Source organism: Homo sapiens, chromosome 10 (genome assembly GCF_000001405.40).
Source record: "Homo sapiens chromosome 10, GRCh38.p14 Primary Assembly".
NCBI lineage: Eukaryota > Metazoa > Chordata > Mammalia > Primates > Hominidae > Homo > Homo sapiens.
In genome coordinates, this window is record NC_000010.11 from 88974265 (window position 1) to 88998854 (window position 24590).

The following is a 24590-nucleotide window of genomic DNA, read 5'->3' on the forward strand; positions in this document are numbered from 1 at the left end:
CAGGCTCTCAAGGACTCAATTTGGTGAACCAATGCCAAATAGAAAAATGTTCTTGACATTTTCCCCAAAATAGATGTCTAAAGATTTTGCACTTCAAATTGGTACTTTATGTATTAAAAGTGATATTGAAACTAAATTCCTACCCAATTAGTTGAAAAATATGAAAAAAGCAATTGCTAGAGAATGCAATTTATTAAATGTTGGTGGTCTTTTAAAAAATGAATTCCTCTTGTAGCCAGTGAGATCAGTTATTTATTTATTTATTTTAATAGTAACAAGGTCTCACTATATTGTCCAGGCTGATCTTGAACTCCTGGCCTCAAGCTGTCCTCCCATCTCAGCTTCCCAAAGTGCTGAGATTATAGGCATGAGCCACCATGCCTGGCTAGTTAATGGTTATTAAGTAATACAAACATTTCTGTGAATTCCACCAGATCATTGACTTTGGCATAGTTCACTTAAGACTTTGTTTGATAAAATAAATCTCTTTCACTCTAATTAGGAAGCATTTTTGGGATCCTGATTAATGCTCTAATATTGTGGGGCCAAAAAATATGTGGAACGTGGCCCTGCAGTTAGATGAGCTGAGATCACTATAGTACTATATAGCGCTCTAAATCCTAAATGCTAGATCACTGTAATACTGTACAGATCAGCCACTTGCTGGCTTGTGACTCTGGGCCATTTACTTCACCTCTCAAAAGGCATATTTAAAGTGAGGAAAATAATAAGTTTATTTTGGAAATTCAGTTAGATGATGCAAATTGTTTACTGTAATTTCTAGCATGTAGTTCGTGCTCCATGCATTTAACTGTTATTACAGGTTGTATTAGTATCACATTAAATTACCCACTGAAGTGAAAGTGAAACCAGAATGCTGTCAACGATTAAAAAAAAAAAAAACTCTCAAGCAAGAGCAAACAATGATACTGCCTCTACATTTTCCAAATCTTTGAATGCTTGGCTATTTTAAGGTTTGTGAGGAAAAGATTGCTAAATTTATACAAAAGGAAGGAGATAAATCAGAGGCGGAAGAAACCGTGTACAGAGCAGCGTGTGCATTTGAATGAGGTATTAGCTCCATGCAGAAAAATTAGTTGAGAAGGACAATAGTACTGTCATACTTTTTAAAAACTGAAAGTACCTGAAAGTGTTTGTTTTTTTCTTATTACAGACTAGACATAATAACAATTTTCCTGTCATTCCTGCTTTCCCAGTTCTCCAATACGTAAAGAATCAGGTGGAACAGTAGAGATGGTACAGGAAGGGGCATGGAGAGCAAAGGGAACTATCAGCAAATAAATGTGTGGGCTCTGGGCTTAGGAAAATGGGGCCCTGACTACTTTTCCACTGGATCGTAAGTTCCATGAGAGTAGGATTTTTTTTTTTCAATGTTGGTCAATGCTGCGCCTCCAGGTCATAAAACAGTGCCTGGCACATATTGGCCTCTTAATAAATATTCGAGAATTAAAGAAAGGCCACAAACCAGGAGATACTTGACAGAGCAGGAGGTGACTTGGTGACTTGAGCTTTTGAGGCTCACCTCCATTGAATCTGTCCTCTATGCTTAGATTCGGGGAGTTTTTAGTGCACTATCAGTATACAGTACTACTCCCATTGTGTTATACCATAATACTATGCAGTGAGATTAATAGAAGCCAAATTTCTTTCCTCTTCATTTGGCTGACAAATTAATTGTCACCAAAATCTGATGTCTCTTTCAAGTTTGAGGCAAGGTCAAATGACCCAGCCACTGAATCTTATGTCCCATCCCGATTAGGACCCAACCATACATTACTATTATCAATTAGTTATAGTGATAATATAATGTGTAATACAGGGGTGTCCAATCTTTTAGCTTCCCTGGGCCACATTGGAAGACTAAGAATTGTCTTGGGCCACACATAAAATACACTAACACTAACTATAGCTGATGAGCTAAAAAAAAAATCGCCAAAAATCTCATAATGTTTTAAGAAAGTTTACGAATTCGTGTTGGGCTGCATTCAAAGCCATCCTGGGCTGCATGTGGCCCACGGGCCGTGGGTTGGACAAGGTTGGTATAATAGATAACATATAATTAATATATTGATATTATCACAAATGCCAGAGTAAACAAGGGGAAACTATTTAGTCTCTAACAAAAGGATTGATAGGCCAAGGAAAATATATTGGTTCATTATGAGGATCACGGAAAATGGAGAAAATTAGTACATTAATTACATTTGAATAGTCCTTCCATTGTACTGAACTAATTCAAGTGTTTTGACCCTAAAATTTTGTAGTTCTATAGCAAAAACCCACTTCCTTTCCACTAAATTGAAAATGACTAACATATCTCTAATGTACCCTGAACATAATCAGCAGCAATTCAATGATATTGTGTTATTTTAAAATACACACCAACTATTGAGACAGATGATTATAATTTTAAATTAACAAAATTGTATTCATAATTAAGAAGCTATGATAGAAATAAAGTGTTGAACAGAATTTCTTGAAAGTATTTTTACTAAATAAAACCAAATGTAAAGGTCCAGGTGCTGGGTAGAGTTGAAGTTTGAAAATTGAATAAAATAATTCTTTCATTAAATATTATTAGAGCTTCTTAGAGGCTCAAACCAATGCTGATGTTTGTAGAGAAGTTGCATTGTGCTTGAGATCCTTATATCTGGTGAAGGTAATTTTTGCCCACATTCCCCAGATTCCTTTAGATTAGCAGCAAAATGTATGCCTACATATCCCAAAGGAGAAGCTTATTTTCTGCTATTTTGACATCTAATGAATTAATGCTTGTGTGGACTGAATTGTTAAAAAATTTAAGATAATTTTCTCCCATTTTGTAGGTTGCCTGTTCACTCTGATGGTAGTTTCTTTTGCTGTGCAGAAGCTCTGTAGTTTAATTAGATCCCATTTGTCAATTTTGGCTTTTGTTGCCATTGCTTTTGGTGTTTTAGACATGAAGTCCTTGCCCATGCCTATGTCCTGAATGGTAATGCCTAGGTTTTCTTCTAGGGTTTTTATGGTTTTAGGTCTAACATTTAAGTCTTTAATCCATCTTGAATTGATTTTTGTATAAGGTGTAAGGAAGGGATCCAGTTTCAGCTTTCTACATATGGCTAGCCAGTTTTCCCAGCACCATTTATTAAATAGGGAATCCTTTCCCCATTGCTTGTTTTTCTCAGGTTTGTCAAAGATCAGATAGTTGTAGATATGCGGCGTTCAACCTACTCATCTGACAAAGGGCTAATATCCAGAATCTACAATGAACTCAAACAAATTTACAAGAAAAAAACAAACAGCCCCATCAAAAAGTGGGCAAAGGACATGAACAGACACTTCTCAAAAGAAGACATTTATGCAGCCAAAAAACACATGAAAAAATGCTCATCATCACTGGCCATCAGAGAAATGCAAATGAAAACCACAATGAGATACCATCTCACACCAGTTAGAATGGCAATCATTAAAAAGTCAGGAAACAACAGGTGCTGGAGAGGATGTGGAGAAATAGGAACACTTTTACACTGTTGGTGGGACTGTAAACTAGTTCAACCATTGTGGAAGTCAGTGTGGCGATTCCTCAGGGATCTAGAACTGGAAATACCATTTGACCCAGCCATCCCATTACTGGGTATATACCCAAAGGACTATAAATCATGCTGCTATAAAGACACATGCACACGTATGTTTATTGCAGCATTATTCACAATAGCAAAGACTTGGAACCAACCCAAATGTCCAACAATGATAGACTGGATTAAGAAAATGTGGCACATATACACCATGGAATACTATGCAGCCATAAAAAATGATGAGTTCATGTCCTTTGTAGGGACATGGATGAAATTGGAAATCATCATTCTCAGTAAACTATCGCAAGAACAAAAAACCAAACACCGCATATTCTCACTCATAGGTGGGAATTGAACAATGAGATCACATGGACACTGGAAGGGGAATATCACACTCTGGGGACTGTTGTGGGGTGGGGGGAGGGGGGAGGGATAGCATCGGGAGATATACCTAATGCTAGATGACGAGTTAGTGGGTGCAGCGCACCAGCATGGCACATGTATACATATGTAACTAACCTGCATAATGTGCACATGTACCCTAAAACTTAAAGTATAATAAAAAATAAATAAATAAATAAATAAAATTTAAGATAAGCTCTTGACTGTCCTTTTCACATAAGTGGGTGAAGTTGAGAAAACATAACTGTGAATACATTTGTTGTACTCTGCTCAGCCTTTCATCACCCCTGCTCTGACCTGTTGGAAAGTGGTAAGAGAGAGAAAAGATTCTGTTCTATTGAAAGCCAATCTCAATGGAAAGAAGTGACAACCAGTCAGGCTCATGCTGAGAGATGGGTCTAGTCATGAGCCAGGCTCAGTTCATTTGCACCACGGCTCCAGCTCACCCTACTTCAGGGAACTGAAGATGTCTAGGTGTCTGGGTCACCCTGAGAGGGGGAGTTTATTAAAATGAATCCTCTCTTCTACAAATTCATGCTAAATTGTTCCACGTCTAATGGTAATTTCTCCAAAAAGCCTTCTATGACACCTGAAGCTATTAGAAGCAACCTTCCTTATTCTTTCTGTCCTTGAATTTGATCTCTTCTCTATTATTATTATTATATTATTATTATTAATAGGAACTAATATTCATCAAGAATTTACTGTTTCTGGCACTGCATAGCATCTTTTCTATGAATTACCTCCTTTCATCCTCCTAATAAGCATATAAAGTTTATTCTGTTAATATTTGTTTTATAAATCAGAAAACTGAAAGCTCAGAAAACCTTTTTATGTTTAAAAACACTGTCCACTGCCTGAAACACTGAAAACAAAATGGATAAAAATTAAGTACAATTAAAATTATAGATTCTTTAGCTTCTACTAAGCTGGTTTTAATGGGTTATGATGTTGTGTATGAGCGTAGGGATCTGGGGAGGAGAGATAAGGAAGGGAAGAAAGTGAGTACTGAGACAAAAAAGCAGAAAAAAAAAAATGAGGTCAGCGAGTTTCCCGGCTCTGCCGCAGGGTGCCTTGCCAGCCTTGGCTCCTAGGAAGGGAAGACTTGTGGCTCACCACAGACCAGATTCCTGCTGACTTCAAAGAGAGACGTTCACAAGGAGAAGATGCCAGCATTCAGGACAGATGAGAGTCTGGCCAAATAATTGTCAGGAACCCTTAAAATGTAGGCTACTCATCTTGGGATGATTTTAAACAGTAATAAGTGTAGGCAGCAATAACCCTAATGAAGTATGGGGAAAGAGAATGTGAGAGTCTCACACTAGGGCTGTTCTCTCTCACTCTCCCTCTCTTTTAATTGTTAATGATGACTTTTTTTTTTTAACAAGTCTACATAACCTGAGAGATGGGGCGAGAACAGCATAAATGCCATGGTTTTGATCCTCCTATCAAAAATCAGGACAAAATCTAAACTCAATTCGATCAGAAAAGGTTACATGTGCTTGACTGTATAATTTGCTAGCCATTTGTTTAGTCCTGACTCTCTAATCAAATGCCAGGAGGATCCAGAGAGCAACAGCAAAGGTCATTTCTAGTGCCTGTGTCCTCACCACACACCTCCTCACACATGTGTAAAGCACCTACAAAGGCTTTGGGGTAGATCCTGGCAAAATGGAATAATAGAAGATATAGTTCTTACGTTCAAAGAGCTTCCAAGCTATTTATGGAGCTTGACAGATGCAGAAAAAGGCAACGCTAATTTGCAAAGTCTGTAGTTTCAGAAGATGGCCAGCTGAGCCGAAAGATAAAGTGGACTTCTTTCCACTTGAAATTTTATTTCATTTATTAATTTTTAAGTTTTGTTCACCACTTCTACTTTTCCCACCCTTCTGGTCTGGACAGAAATGAAATAGTTCAGTTTTAGGCACGATAAGAATTCAAGGTGGTGAGTGGAACATGAGCAGGAATTAAACATAATGCACTTTAAATGTACAACTAAGAAGTCAGGGCATGAGGTATAGATTTGAAGAGCATCTGGGAAGAGGTGATGGTTGACACTTCAGGCCTTCTTTGAAGCTAGGGGACCTGAGGACTGAGGAGAGCACATTAGCAAGCATCAGGACGCTGAACATAACCACAGTGGAGGTGACAGGGAAGCAACAGCCAGGGATAAATAAGAGCCAGAACTGTGGTGTCTGGTGAGCCAAAAGAGAGACGCATTTCACAGGCAAAGAGAGGCCAGGCCTGATGCTTATAATTACTCTAATTTGTCATCCCCAGTAATCTGTAGAGTCCAGGAAGGCAAGGAATGTTCTTATCCTGCCTACTGCTATTCCCTGAGGCCTAACACAGTCCATGGTACAAAGTAGGTACTCGTAAGTATTCGTTTAGTTAAGGAAAATTGTTGGGATCTTAGACTTAAGCTCAAAGCCTCCATTCAAAGAAAGTGGCCAAAATGTCCCCCCTCTGGAGCAAGTTGCATTCTGATTAGGAATGAGACTCGAGCCATATAAAGTCAAGTACAGTTACAAGGCAATGATAAGAAAGAATGAGGTAGCTCAATTCCAAATGAATCTGGATTTATCTGATATGTAAATTTAAAAAGAGAGAGATAATTTTCCCAGACTCCAAATGCCAAATCAGTTTCACTCCCTCCTCAAAAGTGCTGAGAAAGTTCTAAATTTGGAAAGGTCACAAAGGGATAAAGTGAGTCAGAGGAGGCTTTGGTTTGCCTTATATGAAAAGTGGGATTTGGACTATGGAGGAATAGGGTCCTTCCAGAGGGGATGTTTGAATGACAGAGTAGGAACAGGGCATGGGGAGGCCAACTGCGAGGAAGTCAGCACAAGCAAAGGGCAGGCCCAGCAATATCCAAGAGAGAGCGGGGCCAGTCCACAGGGTGTTCAGTGTGGAGCCTCCAGACCTGTGTCCTAACTCGAGCTCTGCCACATACTCGCTGTGTGCAAATTAGTTAAACTCACCTAACCTATGTTTCTTAATCTGTAAAATGAGGATAATATTAGATGTTAAGATTAGGTGAGGATCAAATGAGACATTGTGTGCATAAAGCACTTTTCCTGTGCAGTTAAACCCTTGATAAATATTAGCCACTTATTAACCATCGGGTTAAGAGAGAAATGACTTTTTTTTTTTAAAGAACTGGCCATTGCTTTATCTTCCATCGTCGTGATTTATACTTTTTAACTATATTCACACCAGGAAAAGTTGATAGTAAATTTCATTTTGGGTGAGGTCTAGACTAGTATCCGTGGAAAGGAAGGCAAATTGAAGAGGTATGATCCTAGGACAGAGGAAGAACCAAGGTCAAAACAGGGACATTTCCCAATTCAATCCAACAGCTGCTTTGTTAACAGTACCACAAGCAGTGGGGTGGGCAGAGTGGGAGACGCATCATATCCTGGGAAGGGAACACTGTAGGGAGGGAGAGAGAGGCTGGATGGGGGAAACGGTAGATAAAAGATTGGGCAAAGTAATTTAGTCCCAGTCCCAGATACTACGTGTTTCAGTCTGTGCTCGTGGGTATGTAAAGGTTTCAGATGGGCTTTCCATGAAAAACAGCAATGAGGCAAACCGTCCCATTCACTAAAAAGACAGGCATTATCATGATACTGTGCAAAGAGCCCAGGCTTTAGAGTCAAGCAAATCTTGATACCTTTACTTGACACATGAACTTGATCGAGTTACCTCTATGTGAATCAGGAAAGTTATTCTTTCCCTGTAGGTGTGGGTATGAGAATTAAATAAGTTAGTATATATAAAAGGGTCTAACACATAGTGAGTGCTTGATTAACTGGTATGTGTTAGTTCAAGAAGGCAGTATGTTGTTATATGCGAGAAGCAATTGCTTTGGTTCAAACCCCAGCTCTACAGCTTACTGGTTGGGTGACTACTGCAAGATCCTCAAGTGCTTGGGCCCATGTTTGTTTCACCTATATTGTGCACACAATAAGAAGACCTACCTCCCAAGATTTTTATGAGCATTGAATGAAATCATATTTATAAAACCCACTAAATGGTACCTGGCTCATACTAAGTGATCTAAATGAAGAGGTATTATCATTAAGAAGCAATTAAAAGTTGCATGTGTATGAAGTTAACAGCTTTTAACATAAAAGACAATGGATTATTTGGTAAGAGATCTCACCGAGCTTAAATGTGTTTTTTTCTTTTTTTTTTTGAAATGAGGAAAGGAAGACATAAATGGCAGAATATGTGGTACAGAACTGTAAGATACATGTCCCACGACAGAAATAAAAAAGGCAGAGATTCACTGAGGGGGGAATTCATGGACATTTATGGTCACATTATCCTGATTGGCTGAGGGAGTCAGCAGGCTTCTAGCCAGTTTTCTTGCTGTTCACAGAAATAAAAGCTCAGTGTCTTTGAAAATGAACTAAGTTTTTTTTTCTTTTTCTTGATAGGAAAATGTATTTATGTAGTCAAGTAAGACTTGTTTCTGCTAAGTAAAAATTCAGCCTAAGCAGTGTAATATGAAGCTAAATGGAGACTGGATACAAATATGTTTATAATGAGATTACTGAATTTGTTGATTTCCCTACATTTCCCATCTACTACCACTAAAGAAATGCTGTAATAATAATATAACTGGCCAAAGTGGTAAAAGTGGGGTTAATTGGTCCTTATCTGTTTGAGGTAAACAACCGAACTGATGAGTGGTTTCCCTGAGCAAAGACTCTTGCTACTTCATGTGTCCTTTCCAGAACGTGGCATCAACATCACATGGGAGCTGGTGAGAAATTCATAACCTCATACTTAGACCTACCGAATCAGAATCTTAATCTTAATAATATTGACAGGTAGTTTATATCCATATTGAGGTTTGAAATGCACTGAGTTAGAGTGTGGAGTTATGGCCACACTGTCTTAATTAGATTATCTTTATTTCAATCCAATTTGCATGGCTATGTGAGCTATGATTCTTAGAGGAGTGAACATAAACAGCAAAAATTCTTACTTAGCAGACTTACCCAGTGCAAGAAAGAGTTCCCTTATCTCACTGTATTATGATCTTAGTCAATATGACCCGGAATTTAAGAAAATAATATGACAAGAGTATGGTTTTAATCAACCGGAAACCATGTGTTCAACAGAACAACAAAACAAGAAGGCTTTGTACTTACTTAGGGAGTTTACATCTTGATGATAAGGCCACTGAGGTAACTAAAGAGGAAATGGATTCAGCATAGGCTTTGGAAGTTCACTTCTGTTACCTAGTAACTGTGTGACTTTGGGCAAGTCTTTCCAAGTTTCTTTTCTATAAAATAGGATGGTAACAGGACCTACTTTACAGGGAGTTGTAAGGTTTAGATAAGTTAACAGGTTATGCAAAAAAAAAAAAAAAAAAAAAAAAAAAAAACACACACACACACACACACACAAATGTTCTGGACATTATATAAGCATTAGATATTACTGATATCTTATTTTTGTTTATTTTTAAATGTCTGTCCCTTTAAACCATTCCTTTCAACATATTTGTGTGGTTTAAATAAAAATAAGTTTGAAGAAATTTCAGAAAGAACTTTGATAAACCCATTGAATGACTTGGAAATTCCAAGGGGATTTCAAAGCCAGGTGGAGGAATGCCTGCTTAGTGTCTTTCCTCAGTGCAAAGGCTGATAAAGGCCTCAATTTCTCCCTCAGTTTACTGTGATCAGAGACTTAGGCTGCCTAGTTATCCTTGTTGCCTGGACAAAAAACTCTTTAGATGCATGCAGGTTTGTGTAGAGTTTGTGGGGAGGTTTCAGATGGTAAAATGCCTCTTCCTACCTCAGGTGAGGGGAGGGTTACTATCATTCCTTTTTCACAGAGCTATTCTAGTTCTGTTTATAAGTAGTGTTCTTTGTATAGTGGATGTTGAGCAAACACTTGTTAAACTATAGGAAGTTATAACATCGGGAGAATTTCTAACAACTGCAAAGTGTTCTGATATGTAATAAATTGCCTTGAGAAATAGTAGGAGCCAGTGCTGGAAGGAGTCAAGCTAAGGCTGGTGTAGTCTCCTAGGGCTGTTGTAGAGAAGAGTCTAAAGTGGGAGGTGTTGATCTTATGGTCCCAGAGGTCTCTCCCATACTACCTTTCTGCCTGTATAGGTCAGAATCTATTAAGAGTGAGTAGGAATGGATTACACCCCACAGTCATGAAGGGCCTTAAATGATAGTAGCACACTAGTGTCATATGTCAAGTGGCAAATGACACTAGCACCAAATGTGATTCTGCATTTAAGTTCTAAGTATTAAATGCATCTATTTGCTATATGAAAACATAAGATATCCCAGTGTTTGCAAACTGGTTCAATATTGTGTTGATTTTTGTTTTGCTTTAATACACTAAGGGAACTTCAAAAGGCTGATGTGGTCCATGCTCTCTGAGCCAGGCCTCTCTTGACTTCTTATGTTTAGTTATTCATGAAACCACTGGGCCTGTCTAAATGGCCAAGTCATATAGGAAGAGACAGAGTGAAAGGGAGAGCAAGAGCTAGAGTGAGAGAAAGAGAGAGAGACATCTTCTCACCTTCAGACCTGATCAGAGGCAATAATGGGAGACCATGGGAGGGGAGAGCCTGATCTGATGATTCCTTTTCAGTTATTTTCTGGAAAGTTTAAAAAATATGGTATTCTTCATGGAGAAGCCAAGATGTTAGGCTGCAGGCAGTGCTTATGCTCTCTAGCCTAGTGAGGAGGAAAGCAGTATAGGTAAATAAAATGACATTTAGTTGGTAATATAGGCAGGGCCTATATCAACTGCCACCTATAAAAGGCGTTGGTGATGGTCTTTAGGGGGCCATTGGCAAATTGCTACAACAAAATAATAAAATAAATAAAATAACAAAATCCAAGTTTATCTCCCAGAATCTATCTGGGCATATCATTACTGTTGGAAAGACTTATGTTTACCAGGTGAGAAAACTGATGCTGAGAGGGGTTAAATATTATGCACAGCTTCTCACATCTAGTGAAGTAACTGAACTAGGATTTATATCTAGGGACTCTGTCCTTCATAGGACAAGTTGCTAATTTGGGGGTGTTCTCAGGGAGAGGAAAATGTCTATATGCTCATATGCACAGATTATCCAAATCAAAACTCTTTCTCCCCATTGTCCTTTCTCAGTTGAACTAGATGTTAATACCACTATTGTATTAGTCGACTAACATTGCCTTCTGCAGAAAACCACCTATGTCTCCTTTCTACCCAAGTGCTCTGGGGCTCCTCCCCTGCCCATTCTCCTCCAACATCCCATTCCACATTCTCTTTCTATCTCTGCAGGACTCCCTGTAGTCCTCCCTGCCCATCCATTATCTCCCTCAAGCTGTCCCCTCAGCCTTTTCTAACAGGGAAAGGCTGGTGCCCTGGTAAAGAGTCCCCCACCCCCATCCCACTCCCTGGCACTAGATGGGCTTGGGAGACAATGACTGCCCCTCCCTCATGCTGTTCTGATGTCTCTTGTTCCTTCCAGTCACCTCCCTTCCAGGCCCATGAGGAGGGCCTGAGGCCCACACTAGCTAGTCTTTTCTCTGGAGGTTGTTTGGGGGCAGGGAGGAAGTCTAAAGTAGAGAGAAAGCGCTGCCATGCCTTAAGCCAACCTTTCCAGAAGTATAATGCCCTTGCCACTAGTAGTTTGGGAAACAATTTTTATTGGCATGCAGGCAAATATTTTGTTTCAATAGTGGCATATTTATTTTTATGGATACCTTCTATTTTTGGCAAGGAATGCTGATTTTCCATTTATGGTTATAATGTAATGTTTTATTTTAAAAACAAAATGACTTAGGGAACAAAATAAGTTGACTTAAAAATAAATTATTAGTTAAATATATATTTAGTATATACAAGTAGACTACAGAAATGGCAAAATAGATTGAAGTTGAAGAAACATTGCCTTAAGCTAAGCCCACTCAGGATGAAATTTTATCTGCCCCCAAATCAACATCTCTTGAAAAGTGGTCCCTATCTTTCCTTGTGTCAGTTCTTAACACCCAGGGGGTAGGCATGCTTCTCATGTTTGTTTTCATAGAATATCTGTGTTTTCAGGGGACCACCATATGCAAAAATGTCAGGGGAGGGGTACTCAATTGGATTAAGAAGCCAGGGCCCACAGAACAGATGTTTTCACCCTACTAACCCAATTGCTGTCTGCTTTTTAGTTGCCACAGTCTAAACATTCTTTAATGCATTGTCTTTTTCAGTCATTGCTCAAGAGGTAGGTTAGTATACCAGTTTTCATAGTGGGAAAAATTAGGAGACTTAATAATTTGCTGCATATCTTGGTGGCCAAGTTTTCCAGCCCTGGTCAGTTAGGCTTTAGGACACTTTTCTTAGGCTTCAGGAATGTGAGCATGGAAGTAGTACAGAAAGGAAGTAGTACAGAAAGGAAGTAATACAGGAAGGAAGTAGTGCAGGAAGGAAGTAGTGCAGGAAGGAAGTGGTACAGGAAGGAAGTGGTACAGGAAGGAAGTAGTGCAGGAAGGAAGAAGTATAGGAAGGAAGTAGTGGAGGAAGGAAGTAGTACAGGAAAAGTGGTTGTAAGCCATTTAACTTACTTTTTTTCATCTGAACTGTGACCCCCAAATTATCAATTTGTCTTGTGAAGTCACTTCATTTAGGAAAAGCAATGTAAAAGTAAAAATTAGTATTTATTGTGTGTACTAGGTGATTTGCATATGTCATTTCTTTAATCCTGTAGGAAATAATATGTTCTCCAGGAGGTGACAATGTCTATATGATTAGATTCACAGATTACCTATCCAAATCTAAGATCTCCGTCCTCTCTCTTCCTTTCCCAAGAACCCATACATATTTCTATTAATTGGTAGAAATAATTATTAATAGACTTTGTCACTTGGCCACTGTGGGCTCTGACGCCCTCTAGTGACAGAAAAATTCTTTGGTAGAAGAAGTAATATCCCTAGATAGCAGTCTACAGAATTGTTTAAGCAATTATCTTTACTTGAGCTTGAAACTAGAATAGCTAATTTGTAACAATTAACTTTTGTAACAAAAGAATTATTATACTGATCAAAGTTCTGATAATTTATCAGTTAAGATTTTTTCAGTTGTAAGAATCTAGCTTAAGCAGAAACTAAGAATTTGTAGAGTTGGGTAACTTTGGGTGGTCCAGGGTTCAATTTCAGAACCAAATGCATCCAGAACTTGGATAGCTCTACCAACCTTGATCTTTCAGCATGGTTTCCTCTCAGTGTGGTTTCCTCTCAGCATGAGTTGACTGTTTTCAGCTCTGGCAGGGCCACAAGCTCCCTTCACAACCAACCACATCAGTTTCACATCTCACATATTTCTACTTCAAATCCAATGAAAAAGAAAGGGTTTGTGTCCCAGTGTTTCCAGTAAAGATCCCAAAATCTACTCCAACTGAATGTGATGTGCTGATTGGCTTAAGCCAAGTCACATTTCCCACCCACTACCTCCCTCCACCTACACATATACCCAAGCCCTGGGATTGGTACCAATGCCACTGTGATGGTTAATTTTATGTATCAAATTAGCTAGGCCATGGCACTTGGCTATTTAGTCAAACACTATCTTAGATGTTTCTGTAAAGCAATGTTTTGGATGGGATTAACATTTAAATCTTTACACTTTGAGTAAAACATTTGCTTTCTATAATGTCAATAGGCCTTATCCAGTTAGTTGAAGGCCTTAAAAAAGAAAAAAAAAAAGACTGACTTCCACTGAGTGAGTGAGAATTATGCCAGCAGACGGCCTTTGGACTTGAACTATAACTTTTTCATGGGTCTCCAGCCTGTTGGCCAATGCTAAAGTTTTGGACTTGCCAGCCTCTACAATCACGTGAGCCAACTCCTATCTATCTTTCCATTTATTCATTCTCTTGGTTCTATTTCTCTAGAGAACCCTGACTAAAAGAACCACTCACATCAAATAGTTAAGAAGAGGGGAGAGGGACAGTTTTTCTAAAGACAACTTGGAAGTACTATTACCAGAAGGAAGAAGAAGGAGAAAGGCAGGATAAACAGTCATGGATATACACTATAGCTGGGAGTTATTAAAATCAACTTATTGCAATTTAGTAAAAACAATTTGGTTGACAACATTTTTTAAACATTAGGACCAAAGGGGAAAAGAACAAAAGTCTTAGTGGTAAAAAGATGTAGAAGTTTTTTTTTTTTTTTGTTTTGTTTTTTATCTTAACTCTTCCTGTTTTTTTACATAGTCAAGATTCTTGTTTAAGTGTTATTCAGAATGTTCAGAAACCAGGATATCTTTTGAGTAGAAGCTTTAACTTATATGGTATGGTTTGAATAAGGATGGTTGTCCAAAATATCTCCAACATCTGTTGGAGTGCCTGAAATTCTATTATTAAAATTTTATTTCTTTGCCCTTGAAGGCCTGAGGACTCTCAGGAATATGCTGGTAAAATAAAAATAACCTTTAGAGATGCCCAAACTGTTTTCCCCAGAACACCAGCATTCATTAGGTGTTCATTCAATAGATTCTTCAAAGGATTCCAAAGGCAAAGAAGTTTGGGGAACAGTATATATAATTACCCAACCCTTTGACATTAGCATACTAAGGGCCCTGAGAAGTTTTGGATTCAGAAAGTTTTCAAATTAAAGTAACCCAGAATTTTCTAAGATTATTTGACCATGAAACATATGTCTCCCCACAAAGCACATATTCCTATCTCCTTGAACTTGAGGATAATTAGACGTACGTGGGCAGAGGGTAGGGGAAGGGGGTATGGCATAGAAAGAGCAGGACCTTGGGAGCAAGAATATCTAAGTTTAATTCCTGACTCTGCTATTTATTAACTAACCATCTTTGCCAATGTTGCTTAAGCTTTTTTGGCTACATTTTTTTATTTGTAAAGTAAGTTTAATAATCACTCATCTCACTGGGCTATAATGATAAGTATTAAGTAAGGAAGATCCACATATGTGAGTTGCTGGCTTATAATTCACACTCAAGAGATACTGATTTTGTCAATTGTCCTTTCCCCTTTTTTTCTCTCTTCCCTCCTTCCATTCCTTCTTCCCTTACCTCTCCTTTCCTTCCCTCACACCCCTTTTCCTTCCTTCTTTTTACATTTTTTTATTTAAATGAACTTTTCATTTTGGAATAGTTTTAGGATTTCAAAAAATTTGCAGAGATAATACAGAGAATGCCCATATACCATCCTCCTTATCCCACTTCTTTTTGTGTCTATTAGATGCTCAGAGTGTGTGCACAAGGCTGGCACGCCCAGGGTCTTCCTCATGGCACTAACAGTCTACTGAAAGGTGGAACAGAGACAAGCCTATCAACACCTACAAGACTGGTGGTAAGTGCAGTGACAGATGCAAAACACAGGGTGATGGAAAGCCCTCAGGAGGGTAACCTAACCTAGATTTGAGGGCCCAAACAGGCTCCAGAAGAAAATGTCAACTGAGAGGAAGCCTGAAGGATGAACAGTGGGCTAAGCAAAGGGTTATTAATGTGTTATTAATGGGTTGAATCTAATTGGGAAGGGAGAGAGGTTGCAGAGTGAGGTGCAGAGCTTGGTGGACGATGCCAAAGGAATACTGAAACCTTTAGTGTGTCCAGTCTGGAACTGCATCCAAATTCAGGTTCAGTAATGATGTCATTATCCAAACATACCTTCTGTAAAATTCATGCTAAACTACCTAAGAGCTATCTACCGTTCCAAAGCAATAGTGACTTTGAACAGTGTTCACCAGAGCACGAAAGAATTACAAGATTTTTTTTTAAAGAAAATTGGCCAGGAAATAATGAGTAACGAAGGACAGGAAGTAATTGTGAATGTTTAATATAGCTGGGGCTATGCGATTTGGCTTAAGTTGTTAGCTTTGTTTTCCTCTTGAGAAATAAAAACTAAGGGGCCCTCCCTTTTCAGAGCCCTATGGCGCAACATCTGTACTTTTTCATATGGTTAACTGTCCATTCCAGAAACGTCTGTGAGCCTCTCATGTTGCAGCCACAACATGGACAGCCCAGTCAAATGCCCCGCAAGTCTTTCTCTGAGTGACTCCAGCAATTAGCCAAGGCTCCTGTACCCAGGCAGGACCTCTGCGCTCTGAGCTCCATTCTCCTTCAAGACCTCCCCAACTTCCCAGGTTGAACTACAGCAGAAGCCTTTAGAAAGGGCAGGAGGCCGGCTCTCGAGGTCCTCACCTGAAGTGAGCATGCCAGCCACTGCAGGAACGCCCCGGGACAGGAATGCCCATTTGTGCAACGAACCCTGACTCCTTCCTCACCCTGACTTCTCCCCCTCCCTACCCGCGCGCAGGCCAAGTTGCTGAATCAATGGAGCCCTCCCCAACCCGGGCGTTCCCCAGCGAGGCTTCCTTCCCATCCTCCTGACCACCGGGGCTTTTCGTGAGCTCGTCTCTGATCTCGCGCAAGAGTGACACACAGGTGTTCAAAGACGCTTCTGGGGAGTGAGGGAAGCGGTTTACGAGTGACTTGGCTGGAGCCTCAGGGGCGGGCACTGGCACGGAACACACCCTGAGGCCAGCCCTGGCTGCCCAGGCGGAGCTGCCTCTTCTCCCGCGGGTTGGTGGACCCGCTCAGTACGGAGTTGGGGAAGCTCTTTCACTTCGGAGGATTGCTCAACAACCATGCTGGGCATCTGGACCCTCCTACCTCTGGTGAGCCCTCTCCTGCCCGGGTGGAGGCTTACCCCGTCTTAGTCCCGGGGATAGGCAAAGTGGGGCGGGCGCGGGACGCGTGCGGGATTGCGGCGGCAGCGGCGCACGCGGGCACCTGGGAGCGGCGGGCTGCTGCGGGAGGCGTTGGAGACTGGCTCCCGGGGGCTGTTAGGACCTTCCCTCAGGCCCGGGTGCTCAGAACGCTGGAGGACTTGCTTTTCTTGGGCCTTGATGCGAAGTGCTGACCCCGCTGGGCAGGCGGGGCAGCTCCGGCGCTCCTCGGAGACCACTGCGCTCCACGTTGAGGTGGGCGTGGGGTGCGGACAGGAATTGAAGCGGAAGTCTGGGAAGCTTTAGGGTCGCTGGAGGGGGACCCCGGTTGGAGAGAGGAGCGGAACTCCTGGACAAGCCCTGACAAGCCAAGCCAAAGGTCCGCTCCGGCGCGGGTGGGTGAGTGCGCGCCGCCCCGCGGGGGCGGGGAGAGAGCCTGCAGCCTTCAGAACAGATATTGCTCATTTTCTGGCAGTTCTCAGACGTAGGAAATAAGTCAGCACCGAAGCAGTGGTTAAGCCGGAGGGCTCGGAAGAACGGCACCTTTTCTTTCTCGAAAAAGTTATATGGGGGCTGAATGAGCTTCTGGAGGCTTGTTTACCGTTTTTTATTGTCACACAGAAAAAGAAACTGCCTTGTCTCCCTTCCGGGAATTCTCTCTTTAAGACTGTAAGTCGCTGCCTGAGTGGTTTCATTTTGTTTTGTTTTTCTGCCCTTCTCTTTCTTCTTTTGCCCTTTCTTAGCTTGCACTCCCATGGTGATTTCTGCTTGGTCTCCTGCTGGGGTTGGTGGTACTCGTTCCCACCGCACAGAACCCGGCGCCTATTATTGGCCAAGAAACTTGAGCAGCCTGTTTTGAAAAGTCCCTCGCTCAGAAATGCCAGCTTGCAGATGGCTAATCAAAGAGACGTGGATCCAGGAGGCTCATTTGAGTACCGGAGCCTCTGAGAGTCCATGGATTTTTATTTTATTGGGCCCCAACAAAGTGCCAGGCATAGCGAGAGAAGTGTTTACAAATGTGATCTCCGCGGATTCTCACGAGAGCCATGTAGTGGGGAAGATAACCACATCCCCATTTTACAGATGGCGAAATGAGGTTCAGAGAGCTTCAGTAATTCAGCCAAGATCACACAGCTAGTAAATGGGAGATATGGGATTGAACTCAGATCTAATTCCAAAACTCAGGCTGTTCGCTGATTGCATCTGATATCCAGATTACACCAAGAGGCTGAGATGTCTGGGTCCATTTTATGATTAGAAAAAAAAATCCTGTTCCTTTCAGAAATAGTGTGCACTATTTGGGATTCTTTAGAAACTTCCTTGGAGAAAATTAATGATTCAAGATTGAGAAAACATTTATACAACCTCAGGCCACACTCTTCTCTCTCTTGTTATTAACCATTGCACCACTGCAATGTTGGCTGCTTTGAAAATCTCATAGTTTTTGGACAGCAGTATTAGTAAAGTGTAAGAAAATTGTCAAAGCTTGGAGCTATGCTTGTTGAACTTTTGTACCAATAGCACCTTTACCAGAGGCTGCGTGTTTAAAGCCCGAAGAAAACTTTGCTTTTCTGAAAGAATACACACACACACGCATATGTAAATATTCATACATTTATGTATATATACATATTATAATACCTATAAGTTAGGTATAACTTATATTTGTATATGATATATGGCCTAGGAAATTAAGGCTTATTAAATAAAATTTATAAATGCAGATGAGTCAAATACAAAGATCAGACATAACTCTATCACCTAAGTAATCATTGTTTACGTTTTGCAGTTTATCTTCCATTTCTCCCCTCTAATATGACTCTTTTAAATTTAGTTACACAGAAATTGGTTTTGCGCTCACGACATGCCTAACATCAGGCCTTTATCCTTAAAGAAGTTTCAACACTCTTGTGTCACCTCATGTGTCTACAGAAAATGTTTGCTTTTATGCCTTCACGGTTATGTTTTCTTAGTAGTAGCAATAAATAAAATAGATGCAAAGTGCTAATTACTTGGAATACAGAAGCAAATTTTAATTCTATTAATGGGCTGGACATAGATGGGTGGGGAGCTGTTTTCTGCTTTTCCCCTCTTCCCCTAGTCCTCTGACTCTGGTGATAACTATAGTCAACAAGTATCCCCATCCTTAACCCCTTTTGCTTCTCTTTCTCTTTCCTTCTCTCAACCTTCCTGGTGTTAGTTTTCTCTTTCCTATTTCTGAGTGTTTTTACTCCGACACTTACAATAAAAAAGTTTGAAATCCCAAAAAGTTGACAAATTTCTAAAGGAGACAGAAAAAGAGTCAAACTTACTTTACAAATTAATTTGAGAAATAGCTGTGGGTTGCATTTTTTTTTTTTATTGTGCATGACCCTGTTATTGGCCAAGAAACTTGAGCAGCCTGTTTTGGAAAGTCCCTCGCTCAGAAATGCCAGCTTGCTAATTGAAGGGATGTGGATCCATGAGGCTCATTTGAATTCCGAAGCCTCTAAGAGTCCATGGATTTTTATTTTATTGGGCCCCAACAGGTTTTGTCTTGCATTATTTAGGACATTGGCCAGGCAATCACTGGACAGCCAGTTTGCTCTCCTTTACATTTTGTAGAATGGTTATCTTATGGTCAAAGGAAAGGGAGAGGGCCTTTGGAAAATAAAGCTGTGTATTTACAAGCAGTCATACAGAATAGTTTTGTGGGGAAAATAAAGAACAGTTATTTAATTTGTAATTTAATCATTTTTCTTAAACCAACCCAAAGAGCATAAAATGGAATATTTATTTATTTTTGTAGCTTAATTTGTAATTTAATAATTTTTCTTAAGCCAACCTAACGAACATATTGGGCTGTTTATTTTCATTTTTAATGGGCCATATTTACATCACAAAGGACTTGAGAAGTCTTACAAATACAATAAAATGATAAAATATGAATTAAGACATTAGCAACCAGGATGGAAAAACACAAATTTGTAAATGATGGCCAGGTTTGCAAGCAAAAATTAAATTGATAAATGGCAGCACCCCCACTACCAGCTATAGTTAGACTGATGAAAAATCCTCTAATGTTCATGCCTGAAATACAGTTACCACCCTTAGCAGCAAATTAGAGGCAAAGAAGTTCTGGAATTTGGACGTTGTCTCTGAGTAAGCTCTTTGAGACACTGGACAAGTAATTTCCTTCTGAATACTCTTATACTGACACATAGGAGAAGTGTCAGTGTTTCAAAGGAATCTCTTTGAAGGCTACTACATTGCTTTAGGGGTGCCAGATTACCAGAGTAAACTGCCAGTTTGAGAGAATAACTGTTTCTTAAGAGATGGTCTGAAACCTAAGTAAGGAAATCCCCCCACTTGAAAGCCCCTAGGAAGTTAATTGCTTTTGGCAAATTATCTTGGGCCCCAAAAGTCCCTTGATGAGCACATGTTTTGTAATAGGTACTAAAGACTATTTACTTATGATGAAAAATAAAATAACACAATTTAAAACTTGAAATTGATAAAAAGCAACTTGAAACCAAATTTAGGACAGTGAACCCATCCCTTTCTTATTTTTAAATAGGTAAATATAGAAAAAATGACCACATGATGTGAAACAAAAAGCAAATATTTAAAAACTACATTTATACTTTATCTCACCACACTAATGTAAAGAATTTTGATTTTACTTATAAATTCTTAGCCTTGTCTACACATATACATAATTGCATGTTTAATTTGAGCTATATATAGTCTGTTTTTTGTTCCTTTGCATGTTACACAAACCTTTTTCTATTTCTACATAATTTTTATCTCATATTTTTTATTGGATACATTATAGAGAGAGCATTTATTAAATGAGCTGGGATTACTATAATTTTTATTATTTATTTTTTAATTTATTACTTATTTTTATAATTTACTATTGAAAAAAAGCATTTCTTAAATGTACTGGGATACATATATATATATGACTTTTTCTTGTTACTAAAAAATTACTCATAGAACTTACATATTAAAATTTTAGGACTTGTGATGAAAAATAATAAAATAATTCAAAACGATAAAAAGCAACATAATTTTATATGTTGTACCTTGTACTTCCTTATAAGGTACAACACTACAATAGCCTTAGTGTGTAGTTTTCTTTTTGCTATGTATGTATATATATATTCATAAAAGTGGAAAAATAACATTTAATAAATCCTCTTTATTTTCTGGAAAATCCTTGCTTTAAAAAAAGTCTTTAGCTTTTTATATAGTTCTACTTCTAACACCAATTAAATATCTTCAATTCAGTCTCAAGCAGGAACAAATCTTCAGTCCACTTGCCTACCTTTACTGTCTTTGAAGTGACAGTGTGAGTAGTAAAGCCCAAATCAGAGAGAAATTGACTTTTGTAAGATTGGTAACTTCACCTTCCCCGGAAGGAAATGAGGTGGTTCTTCCCTTTGATCACAACTGCTTTCTTGATTTGAAATAAACTGTTGTACAGCCCAGTCACCCCATCTTTAGACATTTAGAAATGGCAATCATAGTTATATAGGACAACTAGCCTGAGTCCCACTAAGTAGAAATGATAGTGAATTTAGTATAAGATTATACCTTTAGGCTGGGCAGGTGACTCACACCTGTCACCCAGCACTTCAGGAGGCCAAGGTGGGTGGATCATGGATCACTTGAGATTAGGAGTTTGAGACCAGCCTGGCCAACATGGCAAAAACCCAACTCTACTGAAAATACACAAATTAGCTGGGTGTGGTGGCGTGCCTGTTATCTCAGCTACTCGGGAGGTCGCGGCAGGAGAATCACTGGAACCTGGGAGGTGGAAGTTGCAGTGAGCCAAGATCATGCCACTGCACTCCAGGCTGGGCGACAGAGTGAGACTCCGTCTACAAAGAAAACAAAGAAACAAAAAATCATACCTTTAGAGCAAGGCCAGCCTTGTGAATTAGCAAATCTGACTACAAATTCAATCAGCAGATGTACTCAGCCCAGCAAAGTGAGCAAGCTTACTATAGGTTGTGTTAAGGCATGGACTGGGATAAACTGGCAAAATTAGAGTAAATTTGACAATTTGACATTGGATTCATTAATGATAGCCTGTCCTTCAATGAAGTCAGGCAGCATTGTGTTTCTATTCACCTCTGTGTTTTGTGAGGCTATAAAAATATAAGATATGAGAAATGTGAATACTTTTTATTTGTGAGGGCAGATATCTTGAAAAAGAGAGCGAGAGGAAGTCAGAGTATGCGGGTGAAGACTCTTGTTTTTTTGCTGAGGATTTAGCTTTGGTTTTTAGCCATTCTCACAGAGATCATTGGTCCTAATTAACTGGTTGTTGTTGTTTTTTTTCATGTGAATGTCTGTAAGGTTTCAGGCTTGATTTTAAAAATTGGGCCTATACTCACAGAAAGACAAATACTGCATGATCTCGTTTATATGTGGAATCTAAAAGTTTTGAATCCATAAAAGTAGAGAGTAGAATAGTGGTTACCAGAGGCTAGTTGGGGGCAAAGTTGGGGGATTTAGGGAGATATTGGTCAAAGGATACAAAATTTCAGTTAGGAGGAATAAGTTCAAGAGATCTAGTGTACAACTTGATGTCTATAGCTAATAACAATGTATTGTATACTTGAAAATTACTAAGAGTAGATTTTAAGTGTTCTCGCCACACACACACAAAAGAAAATGATAAGTATGTGAAGGAATGCCCAATGTAATTAGCTCGATTTAGCTAATTATCTTCCAAAATATGTACATAATTATCTTCCAAAATATGTACATAATTCAAGACATCATGTTATATACCATAAATATATATAATTTTTTTATTTGTCGAATAAAAATAATACAAAAAAACCCTGGGCCTATACTGCCCACAGGTAGTGGCCACAGGCAGAGCTGGTCCCAAGCCCCTCCCTCTCTCTGTAGTCCCTTATCCCAGGTTGCTTTATTCTTGTATGACCCACGTGGCCCCTCTGGGCTTGTAAGGGCTCTGGGGCTGTATTTTAGGACTCTATAGCCCTTACATTACCCATTTCCTCTACCAAAGGTCATTTCTCTTATCTTCAAGCTTATTTTTGGAAGGGTCATTATTTCTTCATGAGAAGTCAAATTCTGATTTGCAAGTGCTGAACACAGATGCCATTAGTCTATAAAACTCTTATATTCTCACATGTAAATGTAGTAACCTGCTAACCTCAGATTCTGCTTCCTCTAACCTAGTTGCCCTGCAACTGTGATGAACCTCAAAATCACCAAGGGTACTTCCCCATTCTCAGAGATCCTGATTCCTTAGGTCTATGTAGGGGCCTTAGCACTTTTTATTAAATAATGCATCACTACAGGATTCTGATGTCTGTCGGGGTCTTGAGAACTATTTTTCTGACTCTAGCACTAAACTCAAAATGTAATTTCAGATGGAATTTCCTAGGCTCATTCATTTTATTTTATTTATGGCTTGGCCAGTCATGGATCTAATCAGTAACTTGCAACTGTTGCTTCAACTACCTCTGTCCTGGACTTTCCAGAGATTGGCTTTAAGAAAGAAAGAGGACATCCCTGGGATAAGATTACCATGTGTATTTTTATGTACAGATTTTGAAAAACATACAAATGAATGGGATCTTTGCTTATCTCTTCCATGTAGAAAAATTTATTTTACTTCTATTTCAGGTTTTCAATAATGTAGTAGGACAAGATGACATCACTATATCCCTGTTTTTTACACAGATATATTAGAGATGCATTATCTTATTGGAAATTTTAAACTATTCAATAATAAACTATTAGTCTTTTAGAATTTCTTTTTCCTCAAGTGTTGATAAGTAACTGAAAGTCTACAAGCAGACAAGCAGAATTAGTCGGTGGAACTTCATTTCTTGCTCCATTTTTGTCCTCAGCAGTAGAGGGTGGTGAGATTTCAACCCAGCCTAGCAGGACCAATAAGTCTGGAAAGAAGTAGCTCTAGTTCATATTGGCACCTGCTAATTCTAGTTCTGAAGACCATGGGAAATCTCTTGCCTATTTAGCTCAGTGATCATCCAAGATGGGAAATTCTTGGGCTCAGCTGTGAGGGATCCCAAGTTTATATGTAACACTAATGTCTCACAAATCAAGAATCCAAGAGAATCAAGAGACTATAGTTCATTCCTTATATTAAATTCTTAGGACTGCCAACTGGGTGGCTACAGTTTTGGGGGCTAGAAGTCTGATATCAAGGTGCCAACTGGACTGGTTCCTTCTGAGGACCACGAGGGCAGGATCTGTTCAGGCTTGTAGATGGCCTTCTTTTCCATGTGTCTTCACATTATCTTCCTCTGTTTGTATGTGTGTCCAAATTTCCTCTTCTTTTTTTTTAATTTAGAAATTTATACTGTCTACAAGCTTTATATAGCTTTAGTTAAAAAAAAGCAAAAAAAAAAAAAAATCAAAACAAAAACAGTGAAGCCAAGACACTCTTCCAAAGTCTGGACCCTTCCGGCCTTCCAAATACAAGAGCTCTGGAAGTTGTATATACCAAATTTCCTCTTCTTAAAATGTCACCAGTCACATTGGATTAAGGCTTACCCTATTAACACCATTTTAACTTAATCACCTCTGTAAAGACCCTATCTCCTGATACAGTCACATTCGGATGCTCAGGAAGTTAGGGTATCAGTATCACTATATGAATTTGGGAGTTGGGGGAGGACACAGTTTAGCCCATGACAGTCCTGAATCTCCTTTGCTAGATGCATGACTGTGGGCCAGTCACTTCACCAGTTGGGATACTGCCATCTCTATCAGAAAAGGGGTTTGGGCTAGGTCATCTATAAAGTCCTTTCTGCTCTAAATTGTAAATATAATGAGATACCAACATTTAGTTTAATTGTTTAAAATTTTAGAAGCTAACTGGATGCTTTGCTGGTGTCAACACTCC

At 39.3% G+C, this 24590-nt stretch overlaps 2 protein-coding genes and 1 long non-coding RNA gene across 27 annotated transcripts in view, besides 5 other annotated features; 1 reads left to right on the forward strand and 2 right to left on the reverse strand.

Annotated features, from left to right (window-relative positions):
* The window catches only part of ACTA2 (actin alpha 2, smooth muscle), a 56264-nt gene extending 39191 nt beyond the window's left edge, over positions 1–17073 (reverse strand). For 3 of the 7 annotated variants that reach the window (NM_001406468.1, NM_001406471.1, NM_001141945.3), the window contains exon 1: positions 16675–17073. The gene's annotated coding sequence lies outside the window, so the exon portion shown is untranslated. Of the gene's footprint in view, positions 1–10532; positions 10691–16674 lie in introns of all 7 variants that reach the window. The other 4 variants (NM_001406467.1, NM_001320855.2, NM_001406462.1 and 1 more) reach the window with 3 other exon arrangements.
* Positions 1–24590, forward strand: part of FAS (Fas cell surface death receptor) — a 53010-nt gene that overhangs the window by 10215 nt on the left and 18205 nt on the right. For 9 of the 19 annotated variants that reach the window (NR_028036.4, NR_135313.2, NR_028033.4 and 6 more), the window contains exon 1: positions 16534–16642. Coding sequence is in view for 12 of the 19 variants with exons in the window: in NM_000043.6 (NP_000034.1) it covers positions 16613–16642 (30 nt within the window). In the remaining 7 variants the exon portion in view is untranslated. The other 10 variants (XM_011539765.3, XM_047425179.1, XM_047425180.1 and 7 more) reach the window with 7 other exon arrangements.
* Positions 15230–15279: a silencer, noted in NCBI's record as "silent region_2590". NCBI's record gives its function as "represses an Ori minimal core promoter by ATAC-STARR-seq in GM12878 lymphoblastoid cells {active_cell/tissue: GM12878}" and the evidence as "EXISTENCE:reporter gene assay evidence [ECO:0000049][PMID:35858748]".
* Positions 15687–16198: an enhancer, noted in NCBI's record as "H3K4me1 hESC enhancer chr10:90749708-90750219 (GRCh37/hg19 assembly coordinates)". NCBI's record gives its function as "activates a minimal SCP1, AML or CMV promoter by ChIP-STARR-seq in primed H9 embryonic stem cells {active_cell/tissue: H9 hESC(primed)}" and the evidence as "EXISTENCE:reporter gene assay evidence [ECO:0000049][PMID:30033119]".
* Positions 16199–16709: an enhancer, noted in NCBI's record as "H3K4me1 hESC enhancer chr10:90750220-90750730 (GRCh37/hg19 assembly coordinates)". NCBI's record gives its function as "activates a minimal SCP1, AML or CMV promoter by ChIP-STARR-seq in naive and primed H9 embryonic stem cells {active_cell/tissue: H9 hESC(naive and primed)}" and the evidence as "EXISTENCE:reporter gene assay evidence [ECO:0000049][PMID:30033119]".
* Positions 16850–17259: an enhancer, noted in NCBI's record as "active region_3732". NCBI's record gives its function as "activates an Ori minimal core promoter by ATAC-STARR-seq in GM12878 lymphoblastoid cells {active_cell/tissue: GM12878}" and the evidence as "EXISTENCE:reporter gene assay evidence [ECO:0000049][PMID:35858748]".
* Positions 17158–18711, reverse strand: FAS-AS1 (FAS antisense RNA 1). Its single transcript, NR_028371.1, has one exon. It is a non-coding gene; the product is annotated as an FAS antisense RNA 1 (long non-coding RNA).
* Positions 17390–17469: an enhancer, noted in NCBI's record as "active region_3733". NCBI's record gives its function as "activates an Ori minimal core promoter by ATAC-STARR-seq in GM12878 lymphoblastoid cells {active_cell/tissue: GM12878}" and the evidence as "EXISTENCE:reporter gene assay evidence [ECO:0000049][PMID:35858748]".